We start from the raw sequence: 27,643 nt of genomic DNA on the forward strand, positions 1-27,643 counted from the left end.
CCTGGGGCTTTTGTTTAAATAGTGGGAACTTAAAAAAAAAAAAAAAAAAGGCTGCAGTTTAAATGTAACAAGTTTATACCCAACAGTGGCTTTTAAAATAAATATATAAATGGTCTTGCCGGTTTATGGTGCCCAGAAATGATGAAGTAGACGAACACCCTTACAGGGGGGAAATAAATACCTTTTGGGAATAACAGTGCAATTTGCAAGTTTGAGTTTCTGGTGTTTTGTTGTTTTTTTTTTTAATTAAACAATAGATCAGTTCACCAATGACTTGTACTAAAATGAAATTGAGTACTTTGAAAGGAAAATCTGAACTTTGTGGATCTTAAATAACTTTATATCTGGGCGGGGCACAGTGGCTCAGGCCTGTAATCCCAGCACTTTGGGAGGCTGAGGCAGGCAGATCACCTGTGGTCAGGAGTTCAAGACCAGCCTGACTGACATGGAGAAACACCGTCTCTACTAAAAATACAAAATTAGCTGGGCATGGTGGCACATGCCTGTAATCCCAGCTACTCGGGAGGCTGAGGCAGGAGAATCGCTTGAACCCAGAAGGCAGAGGTTGTGGTGAGCCGAGATCGCGCCATCGCACTCTAGCCTGGGCAACAAGAGCGAAACTCCATCTCAAAACAAAAAACAAACAAACAAAAAAAAAACTTTATATCTGTACCAGGCAGTATGAAAAAGTATTCAGCAAAATCTGTTATAAGTAAGATTCACTTGTACCTGCTGATGCTCTGAATCTCAGACAAGGGAAATTTGGGAAGGGAATTCTTTGCTCACTGAATTGTCTTTGAGGTCCTTAGTGAAGGATCTTTGCAGCAGTTTTGCTGCAGTAACATTGAAAAGTCTATCCATACCATTCTCTTCTTTAAAAAAAAATCATAATGCATATCTTAGTGTTCTCCATGTCTGGACAGAGCTTATACTTTGAAACATAAGTAGTACTTGGGTTTAGGAATATAAAGTTTCAATTTAATTATTAGCTAAACAATTCCCCATTAATGAATGCACCTTCCCTACATTATTATACCTTCTGATTAACCACAATGACATACAACTCCAAAAAAGAAAAAGGTGCATTCTTAGGTCTTGAAATTTAAGTCACATTAATTGCAATCCTAGATAATGGTACAACATGGGTTTTGTGCTACACTGAAAAATTTGTTGTCTCTTGTTACTCAAGAGATCCTTGAGGTTACAGGTGATTCTGTAAATGAGAAAGAGTAAGCAGAGAGCATCACTCAACTATCTAGAAAGAAGTGGAAAAGGAAAGATATCAGGTCGATTTTTTATACCACATATGTAGGAGAAAGCTGAAGATACGCAAAAGAGCATAGATCTTTGGCTTATGACTTATGGTCAGCCTGCCCAGATGTCCCCAGCAGGAAAGAAGCATCAGCAATTGTGTTAATTATGCCTCTGTTTGCACTTCTTTCAAGGCTAATTGTCCGCTTGCTTCATTTAGTCCTTGATCAGAAGTTAGTCTGGGAAAGCATTCCTGGTATGAACACCCATGGAATTCATCTTGTGAAAATGCAAATCCCATTTTCCTCACCACCTGTGATAATCGAGGCAACCCCCCACCCCCATTAAACTTTTGGTTTGGGGAAGGCAAGTATAAAGAGAAATAATTCCTTCACTAATTATTCTTTTCCAATCCAACCCAATTCTCTTGAGTAACAAAACTAAGTTTTGCTGGGTCTGCTACATCTCCAAGATCTTCTCCTTTCTGGCTTTATTTCCAGTGCCACTGAATGCTATTAATTTAGGAAGACAGCTCTATAATTAAAACCATAAAAACTCATAAAGGTCTAAGAACTGCTCTTAAGTCTCTGATGTTTAAATGTGAATTTGTAAGTAGGAGGAAAGGGATGCTTGTTTATCCAAAAGCACTACCCCATGTGGTTTTCAACAGTTTGTCCATCTGACAATGAGGAGGCTAGATTGATAGGTTTCTTTGGACTCAGAGATGTGTTTTAAAATGACTCAAATCTTAAAAGCACCCCTGTAGCATATGTATTAAGGCTGAACGCTGTAGCAGTTGTTGAGATATTATATGCAAAAGTGCTGAGCTCACCTCCTGGCACATAGTAGGTAACTTGACTTAAAGGCTAAGGTTTTACATGCAAACAAGCCTGGGTTCACATTCCAGCTCTGCCTTTTGCTAGCTCATCATCCAAGACAGGATGCTTTTCCTCTATTTTGTTATAGGGGCCTCAGCCATGAACCTAGCAATGAGTGAGAGAAAGAAATGTTTTCCTTCCCTACATCCACACCCATAAAAGCTACCTTCACAGGGCTATCTAGAAGACTACAGACTAGGCTGGGCACATTGGCTTATGCCTGTAATCCCAACACTTTGGGAAGCCAAGGCAGGAGGATTGCTTGAGCCCAGGAGTTCGAGACTGGCCTGGTAACTTCATCTCTATAAAGAATTAAAAAGTTAGCCAGGTATAGTGACATGCAACTATGGTCCCAGTTACTTGGGAGGCTGAGGTGGGAGAATCACTTAAGTCTGGGAGGTAGAGACTGCAGTGAACTGTGACTGTGCCACTGTACTCCAGCCTGGGTGACAGAGTGAAATCCCATTTCAAAAATAAAGAACGAAAAGAAACTACAGATTAAACCTTATCTAGCACCTGGCTAGCTGATGGCAGGTAGCCTTTCTTCATTTTTTCTCCTGCTTCCTAATTTGAACAGCAGTTTTTCAAACAGCTCAGTGCCACCTTTTTCCTATAGCATGCCTGTACTGTATATGAATTCTTCAAACACAGAATCAACCCTTCCATAGCCTCAGGTTCTCACTGGCCTGTGTGGTCTTCTCTGGAGAGGCTCAGGAAACTTCGCCTAATTGGGAACAGCAAGCTGCTGTTGGAACCTGGGGTTCTGTAGCCTGCCACCCCAGCCGTCACAGGCTGCAGCTTTGCATTCGACTTGATGCTCTTTTTGGAGAACTCTTTACCAGGGCATGCCATCTGGGTCCTGGCCTGAGTTCCATGTTCAGGTGGGTCCCGTACTTGGTTTAATGCCCTGCTGTTGCCATCTTGAGATTCTTAATAATTTCTGAATAAGGGTCCCACATGTTCATTTGCATTGGGTCCCACAAATCATGTAGCCAGTCCTGCTCTCTTCCCTCCTCTAAGACTCAAGATGAAGGTCACCTCTTCTGGAAAGACATCACCAGATTCTCTCTGATGGACTCCCATCACCCCTGGCTCATACCTCCATTAATCCACCCACTGACACTTAAGAAATGCCTGCTTCAATACCATCCACACTGGCCTCTCTCCACCATGCCAAGTCCCAAGGCACAGTGCTGAGCTCTTCCCATGCAAGAGCTTCACTTACAGCAACCCTTTAAGGTAGGTGCTATTATTTTCCCTGATGTAGATTCATTTACTGAGAACTTAAAGGATCTACCCAGGTGGAAGCAGGACTCCTGAACCCTGGCAGAGCAAGTTTGGAGCCACTACTTTCAACTCCTGGGAACGATGCTCAGAACCGAGAATGCAGTGGCCAGAAAAGGGACATTCCTTATGAGGATCACCACACTTATTCCACTTTTTGTAACTATCTGTCTACAGGCCTGAACGCCTCACTGGATTATAACTTCCTGGGACCCCAGGCTCTCACGTTCATCTCTGTGATGCAGAAACCTAGCATAGACTTGGTACATGATGAAGTCTCAACTGTGTTTGTGTGTGTGTGTGTGTAGCGTGTATTTTAGAGATGGAGTCTGGCTCTGTCCCCCAGTCTAGAGTACGGTGATGTGATCATGGCTTACTGCAGTGTTCAACTCCTGGCCTCAAGCAATCCTACCTCAGCCTCCCAAAGTGCTGGCATTACAGGCATGAGCCACTGTGCCCAACCAAATATTTCCTAAAATAATGACTAAAAGGTCATTTCCATGTAGATAGCTAATTTGATTATCAAAGTACTTCAAATACATTTTATTAAGCCATGGCAGTTGTATCAAAAATTAATCCAATTGATGTTGTTCGAGATACACCTTGGCTGGGCACAGTGGCTCACATCTGTAATCCCAGCACTTTGGGAGGGTGAGGCGGGTGCCATCACTTGAGCTCGGGAGTTCAAAACCAGCCTGGGCAACATGGCGAAATCCCATCTCTATGATTTAAAAAAAAAAAAAATGATACACCTTGATTGAAATAAAATTATCTAAAATGTTGAAAACTAAAACAAAGCAACAACAATAAAAAAACCTGTCATCCATTTTTCCTCCCAATAATGAGTTCCTATTAATGAGGATTTTAATTCAGCTGTTTAAAATTACTGGCCAGGCATGGTGGCTCACACCTGTAATCCCAGACCTTTGGGAGGCCGAGGCGGGCGGGTCACTCGAGCCTAGGAGCTCGAGACCAGCCTGGCCAATATGGCGAAACCTCGTCTCTATTAAAAATACAAAAATTAGCCAGGCATGGTGGCGCACACCCGTAATCCCAGCTGCTTGAGTGGCCGAGGCAGGGAGAACTGCTTGAATCCAGGAGGTGGAGGTTGCAGTGAGCTGAGATCACGCTACTGCACTCTAGCCTGGGCGACAGAGCAAGACTCCGTCTCAATAAATAAACAAATAAATAAATAAATAAATCTAGTTTTGAGGCCACATCCAACAAATACAAATGGAGGGACAGGATACAAAGTAACTGCCTTGAAACTGGCCTGTCCTCTTCGAAATGTCAAGATCACGAAAGACAAAGAAAACCGAGGAGCTCTGCCAGGCTAGAGACCAAGGAGAGAGGACAACTAAATATAACTGACAAACCTGGTCTGTTCCTGAACTAAGAAAAAAATGCTATCAAAGGACATTTTAGGGACAAATAGCAAAATTTTAAAAAGGATTGTAAATTAGATTAATAGCAATATATTGATGCTCAATTTATTTGATTTTGGTAATTGTACATAACTGTGTTATATAAGAGAAACGTCCTTCAAGGAATTAAGCACTTAAGTATTTAGGCACAAAAGGGAATGTCTGCAACTTGTCTCAAATGACCCCAGATATACCTATATGTATATGGACATTGGGGGAAACAAAAGTATTAAAAAGCAACTGTGGCCAGGCACAGTGGCTCACACCTGTAATCCCAACACTTTGGGAGGCTGAGGTGGGCCAACTGCCTGAGGTCAGGAGTTCAAGACCAGCCTGGCTAACATGGTGAAACCCCGTCTCTACTAAAAATACAAAAATTAGCAGGGCATGGTGGTGCACACCTGTAATCCCAGCTACTCGGGAGGCTCGGGCAGGAGAATCGCTTCAACCCGGGAGGCAGAGGTTGCAGTGAGCCGAGATCGCGCCATTGCATTCCAGCCTGCGCGAGGGGGTTCGGTGGGGAAGAAAAAAAGCAACTGTGCAGCCTGGGCAACATGGCAACCCCATCTCTAGAAATAAAAAATAGAAATTTAGCAGGGCGTGGTGGTGTGCACCTGTAGTCCCAACTACTCGGAGGCTGAAGTGAGAAGATTGCTTGAGCCTGGAAGGCGGAGGTTGCAGTGAGTCCAGGTCCCACCACTGCACTCCAACCCGGGTGACACAGTGAGATCCTGTCTCTAAATAAATAAATAACTGTGGTGAAATGTCACAATTCATGAATCTGGGTTAAGGGCATATTGGAATTCTCCATATAATTCTTGCAAATTTTTTGCTTGTTAGGAATTATTGCAAAAACAAATTTTAAAATTTAACTACAATAATACAAGTACTGCTATTATTATTCATCATAAAAGGATGTAGCAGGTAGGTAAATACCATGGTCTATAATCTAGTGATCAAGGCATTCTGACTCCTGGCCATTTTCACCCCACAAAATACTGTTGAAAAGAACATTTTAAGACCTCATGTGAGGCCGGGCACAGTGGTTCACACCTGTAATCCCAGTACTCTGGGAGGCTGAGGCAGGTGGATCACCTGAGGTCAGGAGTTCAAGACCAGCCTGGCCAACATGGTGAAACCCCATCTCTACTAAAAATACAAAAAATTAGCTGGGTGTAGTGGCATGTGCCTGTAATCCCAGCTACTCAGGAGGCTGAGGCAGGAGAATCGCTTAAACCCAGGAGGTGGAGGTTGCAGCGAGCGAAGATCGCGACATTGCACTCCAGCTTGGGCAACAAGAGCGAAACTCCGTCTAAAAAAAAAGAAAAAAACTTCATGTGATAGAAAGAAAACAGTCCATCATGAATATACTCATACATACTTATTTCATTTTGCTTTGGAACTTACTAAGTGAAGATGGTGAAGTTTTTGCTCAAGGAAATATTATGAAGGAATTCGACAGGAAAGTCAAAAAAGGCTTCTTTTTCTCCCTCTTCCCTGCAATCTCCCAGTTTAGGTTTGCTACTCTGGCCCTCCCCCCAAAAGCGTATCAAATAACTAAACTCGCCTCGATCACTTTCCAAGCTGACAGTTTCTTCAGTGTTTTGCTGGGCTTTCACAACAAACTGCAGCGCTAGGGTCTGGGTTAATATTCAGAACTGTGTTCTGTTTTCCCTAGAGTGGGATTGGCATAACAATGGACACCAGGGGCCGCAAAGAGAGACCCACAAAGGAAGACAAGTTTTTAATGCTAGAGCCATCTGCCAATTCTCCTTAGGACTTTCTCAAGAGCTGAGTGAAGTTGAAGCAAGAGCTGGGAAGGGGCGTGCAGTGGAGGGCAGAAAAATCATTCACGGGAAAAGCAATTGCAATATGAAAAGAACCAAAGGAGGGTCGAAGCCCGGATGGATGAATGAATGGAATCCGAAGGCCTCTTCTCTTGAGCTCTGAAGAGATCCACCGCACTCTCTCCGATGGGGCTTTTGTTGGTTGCCAAGCGTTTTAAATGTTATAGTAAGAATATGTTATTAAGGGAGGATTTAATATACACGAACCACACACAAAAAAAGCCCTCCAGAAGGGTCTTCTGACTACTCACGCAGAAAGCCCAAGCCACCTGCCTCTGCAAAGATTACACTGATTCTTTTTCTTTTGGTAGCAACATGTCCTAAATACAGTAGTTTAGCATGAATAAAGCATTTCTTTACCAACTCTAAATTCCCCCTTCTCCCAGAGATGTGCATATTTTTAAGACCACCAACCACGACAATGTATTCAAATACCCTAAAACAAAGTATTTTCATACCCTTGGGAAATATAATTAAAATCTGCATTTTTTTTTAGCCCAAAACATACACCTTTGACATTTTTCCCAAAAGGAAAACTCTACTGAAAACCCCGAAGGAACCATGGATGGACTGCTTCCTTGGAAGCATAAAGCACTTAAACAGCAGTTCAGACCTTGGCTCAGGTGCTAAGTCCCTTGGCATCTAACCATCTTATCTCTTTCCAAATTCTCAATTTCCTGAAGGCAAGGCATAGCCTTTATTCCCCTCCACCTCTTTAAACAGCATTAATCCCTGAATGGGATCAGTCATCTTAGGGGACAATCGAATAGACTTTCCTTGGCCAGATTAGCAAACTTTAGGTAACATTCTCTCATTTCTGAATGCAACCTTACAGTAAATCTATTGTAGTCAGACACAGACATCAACAATGGCTGGGTTGTTTTGTGGCTTTTCCACCGTGTGTTTCAGTGGGTTTTTAAGTTCTAGCATTTAAAATGCACATATCTTGCAAGTGGGGGGTCAGTGATTAAAGCTTTTTCATATCCCTGGGAAATATTATTAAAATTTCAATTTCAATTTTTTTTTTTTTTTTTTTTTTGAGATGGAGTTTCCCTCGTCACCCAGGCTGGAGTGCAATGGCGTGATCTTGGCTCACTGCAGCCTCCGCCTCCTAGGTTCAAGTGAGTCTCCTGCCTCAGCCTCCGGAGTAGCTGGGATTACAGATGAATGCAACCATGTCCAGCTAATTTTTGTATTTGTAGCAGAGACAGGGTTTCCACCATGTTGGCCAGGCTGGTCTTTTTTTTTTTTTTTTGAGATGGAGTCTCGCTCTGTCGCCCAGGCTGGAGTGCAGTGGCGCGGTCTATGCTCACTGCAACCTCCGCCTCCCAGGTTCACGCCATTCTCCTGCCTCAGCCTCCCAAGTAGCTGGGACTACAGGCGCCCGCCACCATGCCCGGCTAATTTTTTTTGTATTTTTAGTAGAGACAGGGTTTCACCATGTTAGCCAGGATGGTCTCGATCTCCGGACCTTGTGATCAGCCCGCCTCGGCCTCCCAAAGTGCTGGGATTACAGGCGTGAGCCACTGTACTGGGCCAAAATTTCAATTTTTTGTTTTTGAGCCCAATACATATAACTCTGACATACACAACTGGTCATTTATTTTTGGATCAGACTCCATGCTCTGCAGGCCTCAATTTCCAGGATTTATAAAATGCCTTCAAAGAAATCTTCATGGATGCAGTTATTTATCTAAATCGGTTGCCTTTCTAAAAACTAAAGTAGCAACAGTTTAATCACTGCCAAAAGAGTATCTTTGAAAACAGTTTGCAGCCTCTCATTTGAACAGCAGAGGCGCCCTACTTCCCTCTTCAGCCAGGCGGCAGAACGGGAAAGGGATTAGCCAGCTGGGATGCCAGCACACAAAATGTAATTCCAGGTTTATGACACATAAGTTATTTGACAAGACCAACACCAAGAGGCCTGTGGATGCTGCCAGGGCCTGGTGGGACCCCGTCAACCTGTCATCCAGGGCAGATGGAGGCCTCCCTGGTGCTGGAGTAACCAAGCGACTGTTCCGCCACGTGGCATTCCCACACCTGCGGCCCGGGCCTTGAACTCTTCTCCCCTGACTGTCAGCGGCCCGTGATTGAGCTGCAACCCTGTGGCCCAGGAGCCAGAAGGCTGACCTCGTGCTGTGAGCCGGCTGTAGACCTGGGAGTTGACTTCCTTGTCCCGCACGTAGCATCGGATCTCCTCCACCGCCTCACGGATGACAGTGACGGCCAGCACGAAGCCCTGCAGAGACAGACGACAGTGAGTCTTGCTACAGGCAGTGAGCCCTGCTGCAGCCAACCGTCCCCTCCTGGTGCCAGGGGCAGGAAAGGCGAGAGGTCACTTGGGAGGGCAGGGGGGCAGGACCTGTGAGTTATTCCAAATGCACACGCCGCTGCAAGCCCCCTCTCTGAATCTGTCTTAGGGAACATGCACTCCCAAACACAACCTGTAGAAACACTACCCTAGAGAAACACTCACTGCCACACACACACAAGCACGTCCACATTCACCACCTCAGGGTGAGGGTGACACACACAGGAATACTCAAACTGTCCCTCCACAAGCAAACGATGGTGACTACTAATACTGTCTCTCACCCACCATGTGCTGGGCAGTATTGGAAGTGCACTTCATCCTCATAACAACCCTGAGATATGCTCCTATAACTGAGATCCCCATGCAGATGAGGAAACTGAGGCACAGAGAGGCTGAGTAATCTTGCCCAAAGACATAAAGCTACTAAGTGATAAATGGGAACTGCAATGTAGGAAATCTTAATCTTTACTGCCACTGTATCTAGAGAAACTTAGGTGGATGGAGCCAGTAAGAGGGACCACCAGGCAACAGTTAAACAGAATAAGATACATCCATTGCATTCACAGAGCCAAGTGGAAAAAATCCATCTTTCAGGACATACACTGCAACCCCATTCATATAAATAGCAACAAAGATTCTATACAATTAAATGTTTTCCAATTTCCTTAACTACAGGTTAGATTTCTCTGCCGGGAAGGAGACTAGAATTAGGATAGGGAGGGACTGAAAGGTGCTTCAGCCTATCTGTAATGTCTTCAGTTTTTTGTTTTGTTTGTTTGTTGGAGTCTCACTCTGTCACCAGGCTGGAGTGCAGTGGCTCGATCTCGGCTCACTGCATCCTCCACCTCCCGGGTTCAAGCGATTCTCCTGTCTCAGCCTCTCGAGTAGCTGGGACTACAGGCACGCACCACCACGCCCAGCTAATTTTTGTCTTTTTAGTAGAGACGAGGTTTCACCATATTGGCCAGGATGGTCTCGATCTCTTGACCTCGTGATCCGCCCACCTCAGCCTCCCAAAGTGCTGGGATTACAGGGCTTTTTTGTTTGTTTTGAGATAGGGTCTCGCTCTGTCACCCAGGCAGGAGTGCAGTAGCATGACCTTGGCTCACTGCAATCTCCACCTCCCGGGCTCAAGAGATCCTCCTGCCTCAGCCTCCGGAGTAGCTGGGACCACAGGTGTGTGCGCCACCATGCCTGGCTAATTTTTGTATTTTTGGTAGAGATGGTTTGTTGTTGTTGTTGTTGTCATTGTTACAGAGTCTCACTCTGTTACCCAGGATGGAGTGCAGTGGCACCATCTCGGCTCACTGCAACCTCCGCCTCCCGGGCTCAAGCGATTCTCTTGCCTCAGCCTCCCCAGTAGCTGGTATTACATGCCCACCTAATTTTTGTATTTTTACTAGAGACAGGGTTTCACCATGTTGGCCAGGCTGGTCTTGAACTCCTGACCTCAGGTGATCCACCCGCCTCGGCCTCCCAAAGTGCTGGGATTACCGGCGTGAGCCACCACGCCCAGCAGAGATGGGTTTTTGCCATGTTGCCCAGGCTGGTCCTGAACTCCTGAGCTCACGCAATTCACCCACCTCAGCCTCCCAAAATGCTGGGATTACAGGCATGGGCCACTGCGCCCAGCTGTTTTAAGTTTTTATAAGGAAACTCTATTAAAGTATTAATTGCATAAGTAGAAACTAATAAAAATTTTAAACTTCCCCAACTTTCCTCTGAGTTGGGAACCCCAACTCATAATATCTGGTTGGGTGGAGGGAGTCACCCATAGCAGAATCTACTTCCAATCTAGATTTTTTTCCTCTTGTAATCAATAAAGCCAAAATCATTCATTTATTTTACTTACTTGTTTACAGTCATTCGTTTTCCTTGTCATTCCTTCCCCTATCCCCTTTTAAAGCTTGCCAGGACAGTTATTTTTTAAATACAGTCAGCATAACCACCCAAGGGTTAGCAGTTGTGGTTCTTGGAGAATTTCACTTTCATAGTTTACCCTGTGAAATATATTAACTTCGATTCAAAGGACTTTAAATCTCTTATGTAAATCTATCCAGAGATGTGCTGCTTTGTGAAACTCCTCCCAATGCCCATACATCTTTACAATCAAAGGATTACTCCTGTTTCCAATCAGATGTAAAGTACACACTGCAGCCAAAAGAAACTGGTACATTTCAGAATCAAAGCATAACCAGACCACATAGGGAGTGAGAGAAAACCTGTTCTGTGAGGAGCACGTACCCGGTGTGCAGGGCTGCCCCCTCCACTATGCTGCTATTTTGTTGTTCTGTGCCAAAACCCAAGTTTTCGTTGTTGTTTGTTTTTTCGAATGTTCCAGTTTCTATTTCTCTCTGCGTGGGCCTGGCTAAATCCCATTGATGTTCATGGAAAGTGTGTGCTCATACAAAGACAGGAGCCGCTCACTAACCTCCCTGCTGCAAATAAATACCACCTCCTAAATTATCACGTCTCCCTTCACATATACACACACAGTTCTCATTAATCCTAGGGGCCACGCCATGCCTTAGTATTTTTACTAGAGACAGGGTTTCACCGTATTGGCCAGGCTGGTGAAATTGCCTTACAAAGAGATGCAAATGTAGTCCAGGAATAAATTCCAACCATCCAATTTAGGAGGTCCTTAATATCCATTCACAGATATTTAGAAAGAAGCTTTAATGGGCAGGGGAAGGGGGGCTGTTGAAGGAGGCAGCTGTTGGAGCTGGTGAAGAATCATAGGCAGTGACAACTCACAGACAAGCAACTCTGAAAGTGCAAGCCTCTTTTGCCAAGTTGTACCTCAAAAATAAATTCACTAAAGCAAAGCTAATCTATGGGAGATAGAAATCAGAAAAGCAGTTGCCTGGGGTGGTGGGGGCGGGTGGGGTGATAGGAACAGGCACTGGGGAACTTCCTGGGGTGATGGAAATGTTCCATATCTTGATTGAGGTGGTATTTATGTGGAGGCTGACAAATGTCAAAACTCAATGAACTGAAAACTGAAGATCTGTGTATTTTATGGTATATAGATTATATCTCAATAACAAAAATACTCCACATTTATTTGGTCATCATATAATGTTACAGATTATTTCTGCTCTCCTGAGTTACTTCTCCCCTAACATATTAGTACCAAGAAAAAATTATTAAAAGCTAAAACATGGCTGGGTGTGGTGGCTCACACCTATAATCCCAGCATTTGGGGAGGCTGAGGCGGGAAGATCGCTTGAGCCCAGGAGTTCGAGACCAGCCTGGGCAACATAGGGAGACCCCATCTTTACAAAAACTACAAAAAGAATCAGCTGGTTTCTACAAAAGAAAATAGAAACCTGAAACAGAAAAAAAAAAAAAAATAGCTGGGCATGGTGGCTCGTGCTATGGTCCCAGTTACTCAGGAGGCTGAGGCAGGAGGATTGTCTGAGCCCAGGAGGCAGAGATTGTTGCAGTAAGCAGAGATTGAGCCACTACACTCCAGCCTGGGCGACAGAATGAGACTCTGTCTCAGGGGCAAAAAATTTAAAACTTAACAATGAAAAACATGTCATTAGTGGCAGAATTTAAAAATTAAAATCAGAATGTTTCCTGAGAATTCTATACAGCCACATGAAGCATTTTTACTTGCAGTAATTCATTTAAACCTCCCAACAAACCAAGGCAGTAGAAAGGATCATTCCTTTTTACAGATGACAAAACTGAGGCTCAGAAAAGTAGCCTTGGTTCAAATTACACGACTTCTCAGAGTCAGCTGTCGTGGCTCACACCTGTAATCCCAGTACTTCGGGAGGCCGAGGTGGGCGGATCACCTGAGGTCAGGAGTTCCAGATCAGCCTAGCCAACATGGTGAAACCCCCACCCCTATTAAAAGTACAAAAATTAGCTGGGTGTGGTGGCCACCTGTAATCCCAGCTCCTCGGGTGGCTGAGGCAGGAGAATCGCTTGAACCTGAAAGGCGGAAGTTACAGTGAGCTGAGATCTCACCACTGCACTCCAGCCTGGGTGACAGAGCAAGACTGCCTCAAAAAAAAAAAAAAAAAAAAAAGATCTAAACCCAAACCACTTGGCTCCACAGCCCTCATTCAGAACTGCTGCACTTAAGAGTTGGGTTTGAAATGAGGCAACTTTCAGAGTGGCTAGAAGACGTTTCAAAATGTCTTCTAGCCAAGAACTGAAAATTGACTCTCTACATAAAAATCTATTAAGGAAATCAGCGATGGTCACCTAGAAGTAGATGCTGTCTAATTTTTCACCACAAACCCTTTTTTCTGTAGCTGTTGGAAAGAGAGGCAACAATACAAGACAAATATCCCCCAACTTAGCCATCACAGGAAAAGCTGACTAAAAAGGGTCTACAACGTGGAGACCAACTGCTGGAGGTGCCAAAACCTAGAAACAAGCTATTAACCTGCCTGGCTTCTATCCTAAGCTATAGTCAAAGGGAAAACAGGCCAGTCAGGAGACAGCAGAGGTGGGAGTAGGGGCAGAGAAGGCCTCAGTGGAAATAAATTTTTAAAAAGTCATAATTGCCGAGTGTGGTGGCTCATTCCCATAATCCCAGCACTTTGGGAGGCCAGGGCAGGCAGATCATGAGGTCAGGAGTTCGAGACCAGCCTGGCCAGCATGGTGAAACCCCGTATCCACTAAAAATACAAAACTTAGCCGAGCATGGTGGCGCATGCCTGTAATCTCAGCTACTTAGGGGGCTGAGGCAGGAGAATCACTTGAACCCGGGAGGTGGAGGCTGCAGTGAGCTGAGATCACGCCATTGCACTCCAGCCTGGGTGACAGAGACTCCGTCTCAAAAAAAAAAAAAAGAAAGAAAGAAAAGGAAAAATGTATGCCAAACATGGCTAAGGTCTCCTCCTAACATGCATACCAATGATAGTGTAAATGAGGCTGCAGGGCTGCTCATGTCTGTACCCCAAGACATTGCAGCCAGGGCAATGGATAAGGGGAGGCGGCAGAGACCAGACTGCACATCACGCTTGAGATATAAAAGGCAGGGAGACGGAGAGACACATGGCTGCCTTCGAGGACACCTTGGGATCCCAAATCTATAAAACATGCATCTGCAGAATATATATGGTTTATGTAAGGTAAGTTATAGTATACATAAAATACATGCATAAGTAAGAAGGCACTGGAAGGAAACACACCAGAATCATAAATGGGATATTTTAGGGTAGTAGCTACACAGGTGATTTTCATCACCCTATGTGTGTGTGGGGGGGGGTTGTTTGTTTGGTTGTTTTGGTACTTTAAATATTTCTCCAATATCATGCGATCTTTTCTATTTGAAAAAAGAACAGTGAACAGGAGCAGCTTTGGAGGAGTGGGGGGCAAAAAGAATGGCAGGATCTGGCTTTTAAGATAATTCAAAAGATGTGGCTTGAGTCGAGCGCTCACACCTGTAATCCCAGCACTTTGGGAGGCCAAGGTGGGCGGATCACATGAGGCCAGGAGTTCGAGACCAGCCTGGCCAACATGGTGAAACCCCATCTCTAAAACTACAAAAGTTAGCCAGGTGTGGTGGCCCACATCTGTAATCCCAGCTACTGGGGATGTGGAGGCAGGAGAATCACTTGAGCCTGGGAAGCGGAGGTTGCAGTGAGCCGAGATCGCACCACTGCATTCCAGCCTGGGCAACAGAGCAAGACTCCATCTCAAAAAAAAAAAAAAAAAAAAAAAAAAAAAAACAGGCCGGGTGCAGTAGCTCATACCTGTAATCCCAGCACTTTGGGAGGCCAAGGCAGGTGGATCACGAGGTCAGGAGTTCGAGACCAGCCTGACCAACATGATGAAACCCCATCTCTACTAAAAACACAAAAATTAGCTGGGCGTGGTGGTGCGCGCCTGTAGTCCCAGCTACTCAAGAGGCTGCGGCAGGAGAATCGCTTGAACCCGGGAGGTGGAGGATGCAGCGAGCCAAGATCGAGCCACTGCATTCCAGCCTGGGCGACAGAGTGAGACTCTGTCTCAAAAAAAAAAAAGAGAGAGAGATGTGGCTTGAGAGATGGGGTCTGGAGCATTCCTTGCTGGGGGCCAGGGAAGGGCCTCCTGAGCCCAGAAGCACAGGGGTGAGGTAATATGAAAGTCCCTCACCTTCAACAAGAGCAGAGAGGACAAGGGACAGCCTGAACATACAGACCACGAGGAAAAGGGATGGGTCCAATTCACATACTGCTTTAAATTGTTATTAATGAGTTGTTGATGTTTAAAAATCAAGAGAAAAAATACTAAAAATTTTTAAAAATGATTAAAAACTATGTGTATCTTATTTTTTTCCTAAAAAGAAGAAACATGGGCCAGGCGCAGTGGCTCACGCCTGTAATCCCAGCACTTTGGGAGGCCAAGATGGGCGGATCAAGAGGTCAAGAGATCAAGACCATCCTGGCCAACATGGTGAAACCCCGTCTCTACTAAAAATACAAAAATTAGCTGGGCGTGGTGGCACGCACCTGTAGTCCCAGCTACTTGGGAGGCTGAGGCCGGAGAATCGCTTGAACCCAGGAGGCAGAGGTTGCAGTGAGCCAAGATCGCACCACTGCACTCCAGCCTGGCAACAGATCAAGACTCTGTCTCAAAAAAAAAAAAAAGGGGGGGGAAGAAGAAACGGGCTGGGCACAGTGGCTCACGCCTATAATCCCAATACTTTGGGAGGCCAAGGCGAGAGGATCACTTAAGGTCAGGAGTTCGAGACCAGCCTGGCCAAAAATGGTGAAACCCCCATCTCTACTAAAAATACAAAAATTAACTGGGCGTGATGGCACACACCTGTAATCCCAGTTACTCAGGAGACTGAGGCAGGAGAATCACTTGAACCCGAGAGGCAGAGGTTGCAGTTAGCCCAGATCATGCCACTGCACTCCAGCCTGGGTGACAGTGAGTGAGACTCTCAATGAATCAATCAATAAAAAGAAAGTTGTAAGAATTTTTATTCATTGTACTTTGTTCATAAGCAACTCTGGAGGGAAGGACAAGAAATGAAAGTATTGCAAAACTGGATGGAAGTAGATTCTTCAAAAGGAACATTTGTATATTTCTTGAGTCATGTGAATGTACTACCTTTCAAATAACTACACTTTAAAAAGATAACCAATAAAAGGCAGTATGATAAATGTTATTTTATATACATTGTAGACCAACTTTGTTAAAGTAACTTATGGTTTGATTTTTATGTAAGTATACAGTAAACAGTTATGGAACTAAAAAACTAAAATGAAGTTAGAGTATTTCACATAAAACTATAGAGTTTGTAACTCTTGGGTCTGGCAACTCCTGGTCCCTGTTTGTACCTGACTGGGCAGAGTAGCCGACAGGAGCTTCTCATTCTCCCAGGGCTTTACTGCATCAGCCCAGCTCTAGGGCATCTCAGTTTATAAGGTAAAGCCCAACAGTTTCCTAGGCCTAGCGCAGTGGCTCACACCTGTCATCCCAGCTTTGGGAGGTCAAGGTGGACGGATCACTTGAGGTCAGGAGTTTGATAGCAGCGTGGCCACCATGGTGAAACCTCGTCTCTACTAAAAATACAAAAATTAGCCGGGTGTGGTAGTGGCTGCCTGTAATCCCAGTTACTGAGGAGGCTGAGGCATGAGAATCGTTTGAACCCGGGAGGTGATGGCTACAGTGAGCCGATATCGCGCCATTGCACTCCAATCTAGGCGACACAGCGAGACTCTGTCTCACAAAAAACAAAAACAAAAACCGTTTCCTGATGATCACAATATCAGTGCTTAAAGGCGCAGGCACCACCTGGCAGTTGGTTAAGCATGCCACCTGATACAGGCAGGAATGTCTGTTATCAGAGGGGAAGGGATGCTTGGATAAAGGGCCTCTCTAGCTCTCAGGATGCTACTTCACCCCAAAATGACTCAGAGCAGAAAAGAACTATTCTCGTCATTTCAGAAGCACCTGCATTGTTTGTGTGGAAGAAATGACCTCCCTTCCTCTTCTCAGGGCAAGAGCTGCTGGCATCACTTGTCTGATAACATGGCACGTACGGCGTATGCACGCCCACTCCCTGGTCCCTGAGCATCTGGCTTCCTCCACTCCACAAGCACGTCTACACCAAATCCTTATCATCCCTCACCTACTGCCAACAGCAAAAAGGTTTATTGTTTTTGTTTCTTTAAGGAGAGCCTAAATCTTTTTTATGTTTACAACTTTCTCTTAGTCAAAAAAATTTAATAAGTTGGGCGTGTCGGCTCATATCTGTAATCCTAGCACCTTGGAAGGCCAAGGTAGGTGGATTCCTGAGCCCAGGAGTTGGAGATGAGTATGTGCCACATAATGAGATCCTGTCTCTACACAAAGCTTTAAAATTAGCCAAGAGCATCGTTCTTCACAGAATTAGAAAAAACAATTCTTGGGCCAGGCGCAGTGGCTCATGCTTGTAATCCCAGCACTTTGGGAGGCCAAGGTGGGTGGATCACGAGGTCAGGAGATCGAGACCATCCTGGCTAACACAGGTGAAACCCCCTCTCTACTAAAAATACAAAAAAATTAGCCAGGCGTGGTGGCAGGCGCCTGTAGTCCCAGCTACTCGGGAGGCTGAGGCAGGAGAATGGCATGAACCTGGGAGGCGGAGCTTACAGTGAGCCACGATCACACCACTGCACTCCAGCCTGGGTGACAGAGCAAGACTCCATCTCAAAAAAAAAAAAAAAGAAAAAGAAAAAAGAAAAAACAATTCTAAAATTCATATGGAACCAAAAAAGAGCCTGCATAGTGAAAGCAAGACTAAGCAAAAAGAACAAATCTGGAGGTATCACACTACCTGATTTCAAGCTCTACTATAAGGCCATAGTCACCAAAACAGCATGGTACTGGTATAAAAATAGGCACATAGATCAATGGAACAGAATAGAGAACCCAGAAATAAACCCAAATACTTACAGCCGACTGCTCTTCAACAAAACAAACAAAAACGTAAAGTGGGGGAAAGGACACCCTTTTCAACAAATGGTGCTGGGATAACTGGCTAGCCACATGTAGGAGAATGAAACTGGATCCTCATCTCTCATCTTATACAAAAAATCAACTCAAGATGGATTAAGGACTTAAATCTAAGTCCTGAAACTATAAAAGTTCTAGAAGGTAACATTGGAAAAACCCTTCTAGACATTGGCTTAGGCAAGGATTTCATGACCAAGAACCCAAAAGCAAATGCAATAAAAACAAAGATAAATAGTTGGGACTTAACTAAACTGAAGAGCTTTTACACGGCAAGAGGAACAGTCAGCAGAGTAAACAGACAACCCACAGAGTGGGAGAAAATCTTCACAATCTATACGTCTGACAAAGGACTAACATCCAGAATCTACAAAGAACTCAAACAAATCAGTAAGAAAAAAACAAACAATCCCATCAATAAGTGGACTAAGGACTTGAATAGACAATTTTCAAAAGAAGATACACAAATGGCCAACAAACATATGAAAAAATGATCAACATCACTAATGATCAGGGAAATGCAAATCGAAACCACAATGCGATACCACCTTACTCCTGCAAGAATGGCCATAATCTAAAAATCAAAAAACAGTAGATGTTGGCGTGTATGCAGTGAACAGGGAACACTTCTACACTGCTGGTGGGAATGTAAATACAACCACTATGGAAAACAGTGTGGAGATTCCTTAAAGAACTGAAAGAAGAACTACCATTGATCCACCAATCCCACTACTGGGTTCTACCCTGAGGAAAAGAAGTCATTATACGAAAAAGATACTTGCACACACGTTTATAGTGGCACAATTCACAATTGCAAAATCGTGGAACCAACCCCAGTAGCTGGGATTACAGACGCCCGCCACCATGCCCAGCTAATTTTTTGTATTTTTAGTAGAGATTGATGCCCATCAATCGACGAGTGGATAAATAAACTGTGGTATATATATTCAATGGACTACTCCTCACCCATAAAAAGGAATGAATTAACAGCATTTGCAGTGACCTGGATGAGACTGGAGACTATTATTCGAAGTGAAGTAACTCAGGAATGGAAAACCAAACATCATATGTTTTCACTAATATGTGGGAGCTAAGCTATGAGGACACAAAGGCATAAGAATGATGCAATGGACTTTGGGGACTTGGGGAAAAGAGTGGGGAGGGAGGCAAGGGATAAAACATAACAAATAGGGTGCAGTGTATACTGCTCGGGTGATGAGTGTGCCAAAATCTCACAAATCACCACTAAAGAACTTACTCATGTAACAACATACCACCTGTACCCCAATAACCTATAGGAAAAAAAATGAATTAAAAAAAAAATTATCCAGGCATGGTGGCATGTGCCTGTAGTCCCAGCCACACAGGGGGCTGGGGCAGGAGGATTCCTTTAGCATAGGAATTCAAGGCTGCAGTGAGCTATGATTGCACACTGCACTACAGCCTGGGCAACAGCAAATTCTTTTTTTTTTTTTTTTTTTTGAGACGGAGTCTCGCTCTGTTGACCAGGCTGGAGTACAGTGGCGCTCACTGCCACCTCCGCCTCCCGGATTCAAGCGATTCTCCTGCCTCAGTCTCCTGAGTAGCTGGGACTACAGGTGCATGCCACCAAGCCCAGCTAATTTTTGTATTTTTAATAGAGACAGGGTTTCACCATGTTGGCCAGGATGGTCTTGATCTCTTGACCTCTTGATCCGCCCATCTCAGCCTCTCAAAATGCTGGAATTACAGGTGTGAGCCACCGTGCCCGGCCTAAAAGCAAATTCTTTAATTAAAAATAAAAATAGAGCCAGGTGCAGTGTCTCACGCCTATAATCCCAGCACTTTCGGAGGCCGAGGTGGGTGGATCGCCTGAGGTCAGTCGTTTGAGACCAGCCTGGCCAACAGAGTGAAACCCATCTCTACTAAAAATACAAAAAATTAGCTGGGCACAGTGGCGGGCACCTGTAATCCCAGCTACTCGGGAGGCTGAGGCAGAAGAATCGCTTGGACCCAGGAGGCAGAGGTTGTGGTGAGCTGAAATTGCGCCACTGCACTCCAACCTGGGCAATAAGAGCGAAACTCCATCTCAAAAATAAATAAATAAAAATAAAAACGTTAATGAGATTTATGAACAGAGAATCCAAGCGTTCCCCCCCTGGGTCCCACTTGTTGAGAATATAAACAGCAACTGCATTTCATAATACCTCAGTTTGGAGAAAAAAGGGTATCTATTCTGCCCTCTCCATAGCTCAGTTACATTGGACCTCTTTCTGTTTCTCAAATGCTCTAAGCACATGCCTGCTGCAGGGCCTTTGCATCACTGCCCCCTGGAATAGTCTCCTTCCCATCACTCCTCAGGAGGCCTTTCACAGCCACACAGGCTAAGGCTGCCCCTTCACATCTCCTACCCTTCACCTTCATTCATGTAAAAAATACTAAATGTATCTGGGATACCCCATCTGTCCTACGACCTTATTCTGTTACCTTCAGAGCACTTTTCACAATTTGTAACAATTTCATTTACTGGTTTATTGTCTATCCCTTCTGAATGTCAGCCCCACAGGGCAGAAATATTTGTCTACTCTGTTCATTGCTGCACCCCCAGAACCCAGCACAGGGCCTGGCACACAGCAGGTGCTCAACCACCATCTGCCAAATCAATGGAGAAAGAAAAGGAGGCGAGGGAAGGAACAGAGGGGCTACTCGGTTCTGCTACACATCGCATGCACAAAAGCATAGATTCTGCTACTTTTCCAACCCCTCACACTCAAATACTCTACATTGGTTAAAAAGAAAATGTGATCCCAGGAAACAATTCAAATACAAGGTGAGCATCCCTGATGCAGAATGCTTGGGAGCCGAAGTGTTTGAGATTGCAGATGTTTCCAGATTGGGGGACATCTGTGCCATCCTTACCAGTTAAGCATCTCAAATCCAAAAATCTGAAATCCAAAATGCTCCAGTGAGCATTTCGTTTGAGTCCCATGTTAGTGCTCAAAAGTTTTAGATTTTACATTTATTTATTTGGAATTTTTTTGTTTGTTTTTGTTTTTGTTTTGAGACAGGTCTCTCTCCATCACCCAGGCTGGAGTGCAGTGGCGTGATGTCAACTTACTGCAACCTCTGCCTCTCAGGTTCAAGCGATTCTCCTGCCTCAGCCTCACAAGTAGTTGGGACTACAGGCACGTCCCACCACACCCCACTAATTTTTATATTTTTAGTAGAGATGGGTTTCACCATGTTGCCCAGGCTGGTCTCAAACTCCTGGCCTCAGGTAATCCTCCCACCTCGGCCTCCCAAAGTGCTAGGACTACAGGCATGAGCCACCGTGCCTGGCCAGATTTTAGACCATTTGAGATTTTGGATTTGGGATGCTCAACCTGTGATATAATCCATGAGGACAGGGGATTTGTCTTTCTCATTTACCTCTGTGTTCCCAGAGTCTAGACTTGTGCCATATACAATAAACATACAATAAATCCTTGTTGAGATAATGCAAGACCCAACAGCTAAATGAATAAATGAACGGCACAGGCTTTGCTATAGTTTGATCCAGGCGGTATATGAAATGGAGCTTCAACGTTAAAGTCTCAGAGACTCCCAATGTATTGGCCTAAGGGCATCCTTTCCCTTACAAGGCCACCATCCCATTCCAGATGCCTAAGTGAGAGAAACAAAGAACTTTCTGTTTCCAAACCTCTAAGGTTACTGAACAAACAATGCCGATTAACTTACCAGGGGAACCCAGTAGGTATAGAGTGCACCAAGTCTCATTTCGGGAACAAACTGAGAGCAGGCAAGAAGTAAGAAATAGAGGTTGAAAAAGTATTTGAACTGGTTGAACAGCACCTGGAATGGAGGGAGACAACAGAGAAAGACATTCAGGGCTTGTCTGATGAGATCTGGAACATTTGGTGGGAAATGAATAACATCTAAAAACATTCCTGCAGCCAGGCGTGGTGGTTCACGCCTATAATCCCAGAACTTTGGGAGGCCGAGGCGAGCGGATCACCTGAGGTCAGGATTCGAGACCAGCCTGACCAACATGGCGAAACCCTGTCTCTACTAAAACTACAAAAATTAGCCAGGCGTGGTGGCAGGCACCTATAATCCCAGCTACTCAGGAGGCTGAAGCAGGAGAATTGCTTGAACCCGGGAGGAGGAAGTTGCAGTGAGCCAAGATCGCACCATTGCACTCCAACCTGGGCAACAAGAGCGAAACTCTGTCTCAAAAAAAAAAAAAAAAAAAAAAAAAAATCCTGCTTTATAATACAATTTACACTATACTTTTCACATAGAGCTTAAACACTTCCATATGTTGTTTAGAAAAACATACATGGGTAATAAAAGTATCATTTGTAAAAGAAAGAGTAAATAATGATATACATGGAAATTGTAAATACCAAATTCAGAAGAGTAGTTACTTCCTGGGGAAGGGGTAAAATCTAACATGGAGGGGCACACAGGGGCATCAACTATGTTATGTGTGTTTTGGGGTTTGGTTTTGTTTTTTGAGACCAGGTCTCGCTCTGTCACCCAGCCTGGAGTCCAGTGGCGTGATCGTAGCTCACTGCAGCCTCGAATTCCTGGGCTCAGGCGATCCTCCTGTCACAGCCTCCCAAGTAGCTGAAACCACAAGCATGCACCACCATGCCCAGCTAAATTTTTTGCTATTTGTAGAGACAGGGTCTCCCTATGTTGCCCAGGCTGGCCTTGAACTCCTGGGCTCAAGCGATCCTCCCACTTCAGCCTCCCAAAGTGTTGGGATTACAGACCTAAGCCACTGCGTCCAGACTGTGTTATTTCTTTTTTTTTTTTTTTTTTTTTTTTTTTGAGACGGAGCCTTGCTCTGTTGTTTAGGAGGAGGTTTTTGCGGAAAATGCTTATGCTATAAGGTTGAGTGCAAAAAGAAATAAAAAGTTATGTCCAGCCAGGCGCAGAGGCTCACACCTGTAATCCCAGCACTTTGGGAGGCTGAGGCAGGCGGATCACGAGGTAAGGATATCAAGACCATCCTGCCCAACAAGGTGAAACCCCGTCTCTACAAAAATACAAAAAATTAGCCAGGCACCTATAGGCTACTCAGGAGGTTGAGGCAAGAGAATCGCTTGAACACAAGAGGCAGACGTTGCAGTGAGCTGAGATCGCGCCACTACACTCCAGCCTGGGTGACAGAGCAAAACTCCATCTCAAAAAAAAAAAAAGTTACGTCCACAGCATGTCCAGACGTGGTGGTACATGCCTGTAATCCCAGCACTTTGGGAGGGCGAGGTTGGCAAATGGCTTGAGCTCAAGAGTTCGAGACCAGCCATGGCAACATGGTAAAACCCCATCACTACAAAAAATACAAATATTAGCCAAGAGTGGTGGCATGCACCCGTAGTCCCAGCTACTCAGGAGGCTGAAGTGGGAGGATCAATTGAGCCCAGGAGGCGGAGATAGTAGTGAGCCAAGATCATGTCACTGCACTCTCGCCTGGGTGACAATGAGTCCCCCACCTCAAAAAATAAAAAGTGAAACCCCATCTCAAAAAATAAAATAAAAAATAATTTTTAAAAAGTTAAATGGCCGCACACAGTGGCTCACGCCTGTAATCCCAGCAATTTGGGAAGCCGAGGCGGATGAATCACGAGGTCAGGAGTTCAAGACCAGCCTGGCCAACATGATGAAACCCTGTCTCTACTAAAAAATAAAAAAAGTAGCCGGACATGGGAGCACGTGCCTGTAATCCCAGCTACTCAGGAGGCTGAGGCAGGAGAATCACTTAAACCCGGGAGGTGGAGGTTGCAGTGAGCCGAGATCACGCCATTGTGCACCAGCCTGGGCAACAGAGGGAGACTCAGTCTCAAAAAAAAAAAAAAAGCTATGTCCACAACATGACCTCAACTCCATAAAATAACACAGTCAAATCCTCCCCTGGGGAGCAGCTAGGTGCTAGTGTGGTTCTGACCATTGGCATGCACCCGAGAGTCAGACTGAGACCACATGACTAGTTTGGGCCAATAGGTAATGAATGGACGTACTGTGTCTCGTTGAGGCTAAGGCAGCTAAGAACCATTGGTGCCTCTTGAGCCACTCTGGTGACTTTGGTGGCCACATAGTCCAGGTGCCATACCCAGGAAATGGAGGAGTGTGGCCCAGTCTGCATCAGACTTTCCATGAATGAGAATAAACCTATTCCTCACTTGAGGTACTGAGAGTTGGGGGGAGTTGAGGAAACCAGCAATGAATATAGTCAAAATCACCCTTAAAAACATTCACGGCTGGGAGCGCTGGCTCGTGCCTATAATCCCAGCACTTTGGGAGGCCAAGGTGGGTGGATCACCTGAGGTCAGGAGTTCGAGACCAGCCTGGCCAACATGGTGAAACTCCGTCTCTACTAAAAATACAAAAAATTAGCCGGGCGTGGTGGCGGGTGCCTGTGATCCTAGCTACTTGGGAGGCTGAGGCAGGAGAATTGCTTGAACCCAGGAGGCGGAGGTTGCAGTGAGCCAAGATGGCTCACTGTGCTCCAGCCTGGGCGACAGAGCGAGACTCCATCTCAAAAAAAAAAAAAAAAATTCAAATTTCTGTTTGGGAGGCTGAGAGAGGAGCATGGCTTGAGCCCAGGAGTCTGAGGCTGCAATAAGCTCTGATCATGCCACTGCACTCCAGCCCAGGCAAGACAGTGAGATCTGGTCTCTTAAAAAACAAATTCCAATTGACCTTGAACTCGACTATATAATAGATTTGTGCCTCTGCACTATCACTCAATATCTAACACTACCATTATGTTCCTTTCTGCATTGGAGCTGATTGCTACTGCTGCTTCTCAAAGTCAACTGGTGTGTGTTTGGAGGCAGTGCTGGATAAAAATAGATATTTAATTTATGTGCATGTTGGGGAGAAGGTTTGCTGAGTACATGTCCACAGATTTGTGTAAGTTAATGTGGAAGTGTTATGCCACCAGAAACATTTATTATTAGCAAAAATACTAATGAAAATTCTCTCTATAGATGGTAAGATTAAAATGCATCTTTATTTTTTCTCCTCTAAGCTATTATCTCCCAACTTGCCAATATTGACTACATGTGTCATGATGGGGGGAAATTTAAGCACTGCTGACATTCTTTTCTGCTGTTTTGGTCATAATGCTAGGTCCCCAGAATGTCTTTTTCATTCTTAGGCTTAGCACACCAAATACATGTGAAGTTACTCTAACTGAGCAGGTGGGGTCACAGCCTTGCAGAGAGAAGGCAGGTGCCCCCTCCACCCCACCCCACCTCCAACCCCGCCACTACCCAGTGCTGAACCCAGGGAAGATGAACAACCAGGGACTAAGGTGGCACAGAAAAGTCACTGACATCTGCCACAGGGAACTCAGTCTTTTAAGACTGTACCGGCGGGCAAGGTGGCTCACATCTGTAATCCCAGCACTTTGAGAGGCTGAAGTGGGTGGATCACCTGATGTCAGGAGTTCAAGACCGGCCTGGCCAACATGGTGAAACCCCATCTCTACTAAAAATACAAAAATTAGCCACGCGTGGTGGCACATGCCTATAATCCCAGCTACTCAGGAGGATGAGGCAGGAGAATCGCTTGAACTCAGGAGGCGGAGGTTGCAGTGAGCCAAGATTGCGCCACTGCACTCCAGCCTGGGCGACAGAGTAAGACTCTGTCTAAAAAATAACATGACATGACATAACATCTGTACCAATGCATGTATTTGTGATGGAAAAAAGAAAAGAGCACGGTCCCTGCCTGCACGTACCCCAGGAAGAAAGGTGAAGAAATTGTACTTCTGATTGTTGATGACATTCCGAGGATACCTCTGGTCTCTCTTCTCGGGGTGCCCCAGCCAGACAGTGCGGGGCCTGGCCTCCCCTCCACCGCAGCATCTCAGCCACTCGCAGCACCTGTGGGAAAGAAACCCACGCATCAAGGCCACGCCCACGCATCGAGGCTGTGCTCATGTCTGCCCACTCTTCGCAGATTGCTTTTCTCTACAGCATCTTCTCTGGCTCAGGACCACAGCCATATTTGAGGCTTCATCTTTCAGTGAAACAAGAAAACAGAGCAGAAGCTCCCACGAAGCTGTGGTCCAAATAAAAGATGCTTTGTCCTGGCCAGGCGCGGTGGCTCACACCTGTAATCCCAGCACTTTGGGAGGCCGAGGTGGGCAGACCACAAGGTCAAGAGATCGAGACCATCCTGGCTGACATGGTGAAATCTCGTCTGTACTAAAAAATACAAAAATTAGCCGGGCGTGTTGGCACGTGCCTGTAATCCCAGCTACTCAGGAGGCTGAGGGAGGATAATCGCTTGAAACCAAGAGGCGGAGGTCGCAGTGAGCCAAGATCGCACCACTGCACTCCAGCCTGGCGAAAGACTGAGACTTCGTCTCAAAAAATAAGTAAATAAATAAATAAAAAGATGCTTTGTCCCCAATCCCAAATTATTTACAGTCTTGCATTGTTAAGCGACAAGGATACGCTCTAAGAAACGCATTAGGCCATTTCGGCACTGTGGGAACATTCTAGAGTGACTTACACAACCTGGCTGCCATCACCTGCTATGCACTAGGCTGAATGGTACAGCCTATTATTCCTCAGCTACAAACCTGCACAGCATGAGACTGTACTGAATAAGACAGGCAGTGGTAGCACAATGGTAAGTACTTGTGTCTCTAAACATATCTACATATAGAAAAAATACAGTAAAAATACAGTATTCTAATCTAATGGGGCCACTGTTATATATGTGGTCTGTGGTTGGTTGATATGTCATTATGTGGCAAAAGACTGTGTTCCAAAAAGTAAGATTCGGCCAGCCATGGTGGTTTATGCCTATAATCCCAACACTTTGGGAGGCCAAAGCAAGAAGATCATTTGGGGCCAGGAGATTGACACCAGCCTGGGCAACAAAGTGAGACTCTCATCTCTATTAAAAATTAAATTTTTTAGCCAGGCACGGTGGCTCATGCCTGTAATCCCAGCACTTTGGGAGGCCGAGGCAGGCGGATCATGAGGTCAGGAGTTCGAGATCAGCCTGACCAAGATGGTGAAACCCCGTCTCTGCTGAAGATACAAAAATTAGCCAGGCATGGTGGCAGGCGCCTATAATCCCAGCTACTCGGGAGGCTGAGGCAGGAGAATCGCTTGAACCCAGTAGGCGGAGGTTGCAGTGAGCTATTGCCACTGCACTCCAGCCTGGGCAACAGAGCGAGACTCCGTCTCAAATAAATAAATAAATAAAAATAATAATAATTTTTTAAAGGTAGGCTTTATTTTAGAATAAAAGGATTTAAGAAAATAAATATATCACAGTAAGTACTATTATTACATCTATGCTTCACAGATAAGAGAGAAGCTTGGGCCAGGCGAGGTGGCTCACGCCTGTAATCCCAGCACTTTGGGAGGCCGAGGCAGGCGGAGGTACCTGAGGTCAGGAGTTCAAGACCAGCCTGGCCAACATGGTGAAACCCCATCTCTACTAGAATTACAAAAATTAGCTGGGTGTGGTGGCAGACGCCTATAATCCCAGCTACCAGGGAGGCTGAGGCAGGAGAATAGCTTGAACTCGGGAGGCGGAGGTTGCAGTGAGCCAAGATCATGCCACTGCACTCCAGCCTGGGTGACAGAGGGAGACTCCATCTCCAAAAAAAAAAAAGAGAAGCTTGGAACAGCTAAAGCACCCAAGTTTGCAGAGACGTAAGAAACAGCTGGGTCTGGC

General features: G+C 45.2%; 1 protein-coding gene across 1 annotated transcript in view, besides 4 other annotated features; it reads right to left on the bottom strand.

The window, feature by feature from the left end:
- The window catches only part of ATP9A (ATPase phospholipid transporting 9A (putative)), a 171,877-nt gene that overhangs the window by 107,638 nt on the left and 36,596 nt on the right, over nt 1-27,643 (bottom strand). The window contains exons 2-4 of the mRNA NM_006045.3: nt 25,683-25,827; nt 21,668-21,781; nt 8,815-8,923 (exon numbers count right to left, since the gene is read on the bottom strand). Coding sequence (NP_006036.1) covers nt 8,815-8,923; nt 21,668-21,781; nt 25,683-25,827 — 368 coding nt within the window. The remainder of the gene's footprint in view (nt 1-8,814; nt 8,924-21,667; nt 21,782-25,682; nt 25,828-27,643) is intronic.
- Nucleotides 1,134-1,692: an enhancer, noted in NCBI's record as "OCT4-NANOG hESC enhancer chr20:50321824-50322382 (GRCh37/hg19 assembly coordinates)". NCBI's record gives its function as "activates a minimal SCP1, AML or CMV promoter by ChIP-STARR-seq in primed H9 embryonic stem cells {active_cell/tissue: H9 hESC(primed)}" and the evidence as "EXISTENCE:reporter gene assay evidence [ECO:0000049][PMID:30033119]".
- Nucleotides 2,765-3,264: an enhancer, noted in NCBI's record as "H3K4me1 hESC enhancer chr20:50323455-50323954 (GRCh37/hg19 assembly coordinates)". NCBI's record gives its function as "activates a minimal SCP1, AML or CMV promoter by ChIP-STARR-seq in primed H9 embryonic stem cells {active_cell/tissue: H9 hESC(primed)}" and the evidence as "EXISTENCE:reporter gene assay evidence [ECO:0000049][PMID:30033119]".
- Nucleotides 6,342-6,887: an enhancer, noted in NCBI's record as "NANOG hESC enhancer chr20:50327032-50327577 (GRCh37/hg19 assembly coordinates)". NCBI's record gives its function as "activates a minimal SCP1, AML or CMV promoter by ChIP-STARR-seq in naive H9 embryonic stem cells {active_cell/tissue: H9 hESC(naive)}" and the evidence as "EXISTENCE:reporter gene assay evidence [ECO:0000049][PMID:30033119]".
- Nucleotides 8,783-9,293: an enhancer, noted in NCBI's record as "H3K4me1 hESC enhancer chr20:50329473-50329983 (GRCh37/hg19 assembly coordinates)". NCBI's record gives its function as "activates a minimal SCP1, AML or CMV promoter by ChIP-STARR-seq in primed H9 embryonic stem cells {active_cell/tissue: H9 hESC(primed)}" and the evidence as "EXISTENCE:reporter gene assay evidence [ECO:0000049][PMID:30033119]".

The sequence above is a fragment of the Homo sapiens genome, chromosome 20, assembly GCF_000001405.40.
Source record: "Homo sapiens chromosome 20, GRCh38.p14 Primary Assembly".
In the NCBI taxonomy this organism is placed as follows: Eukaryota; Metazoa; Chordata; class Mammalia; order Primates; family Hominidae; genus Homo; species Homo sapiens.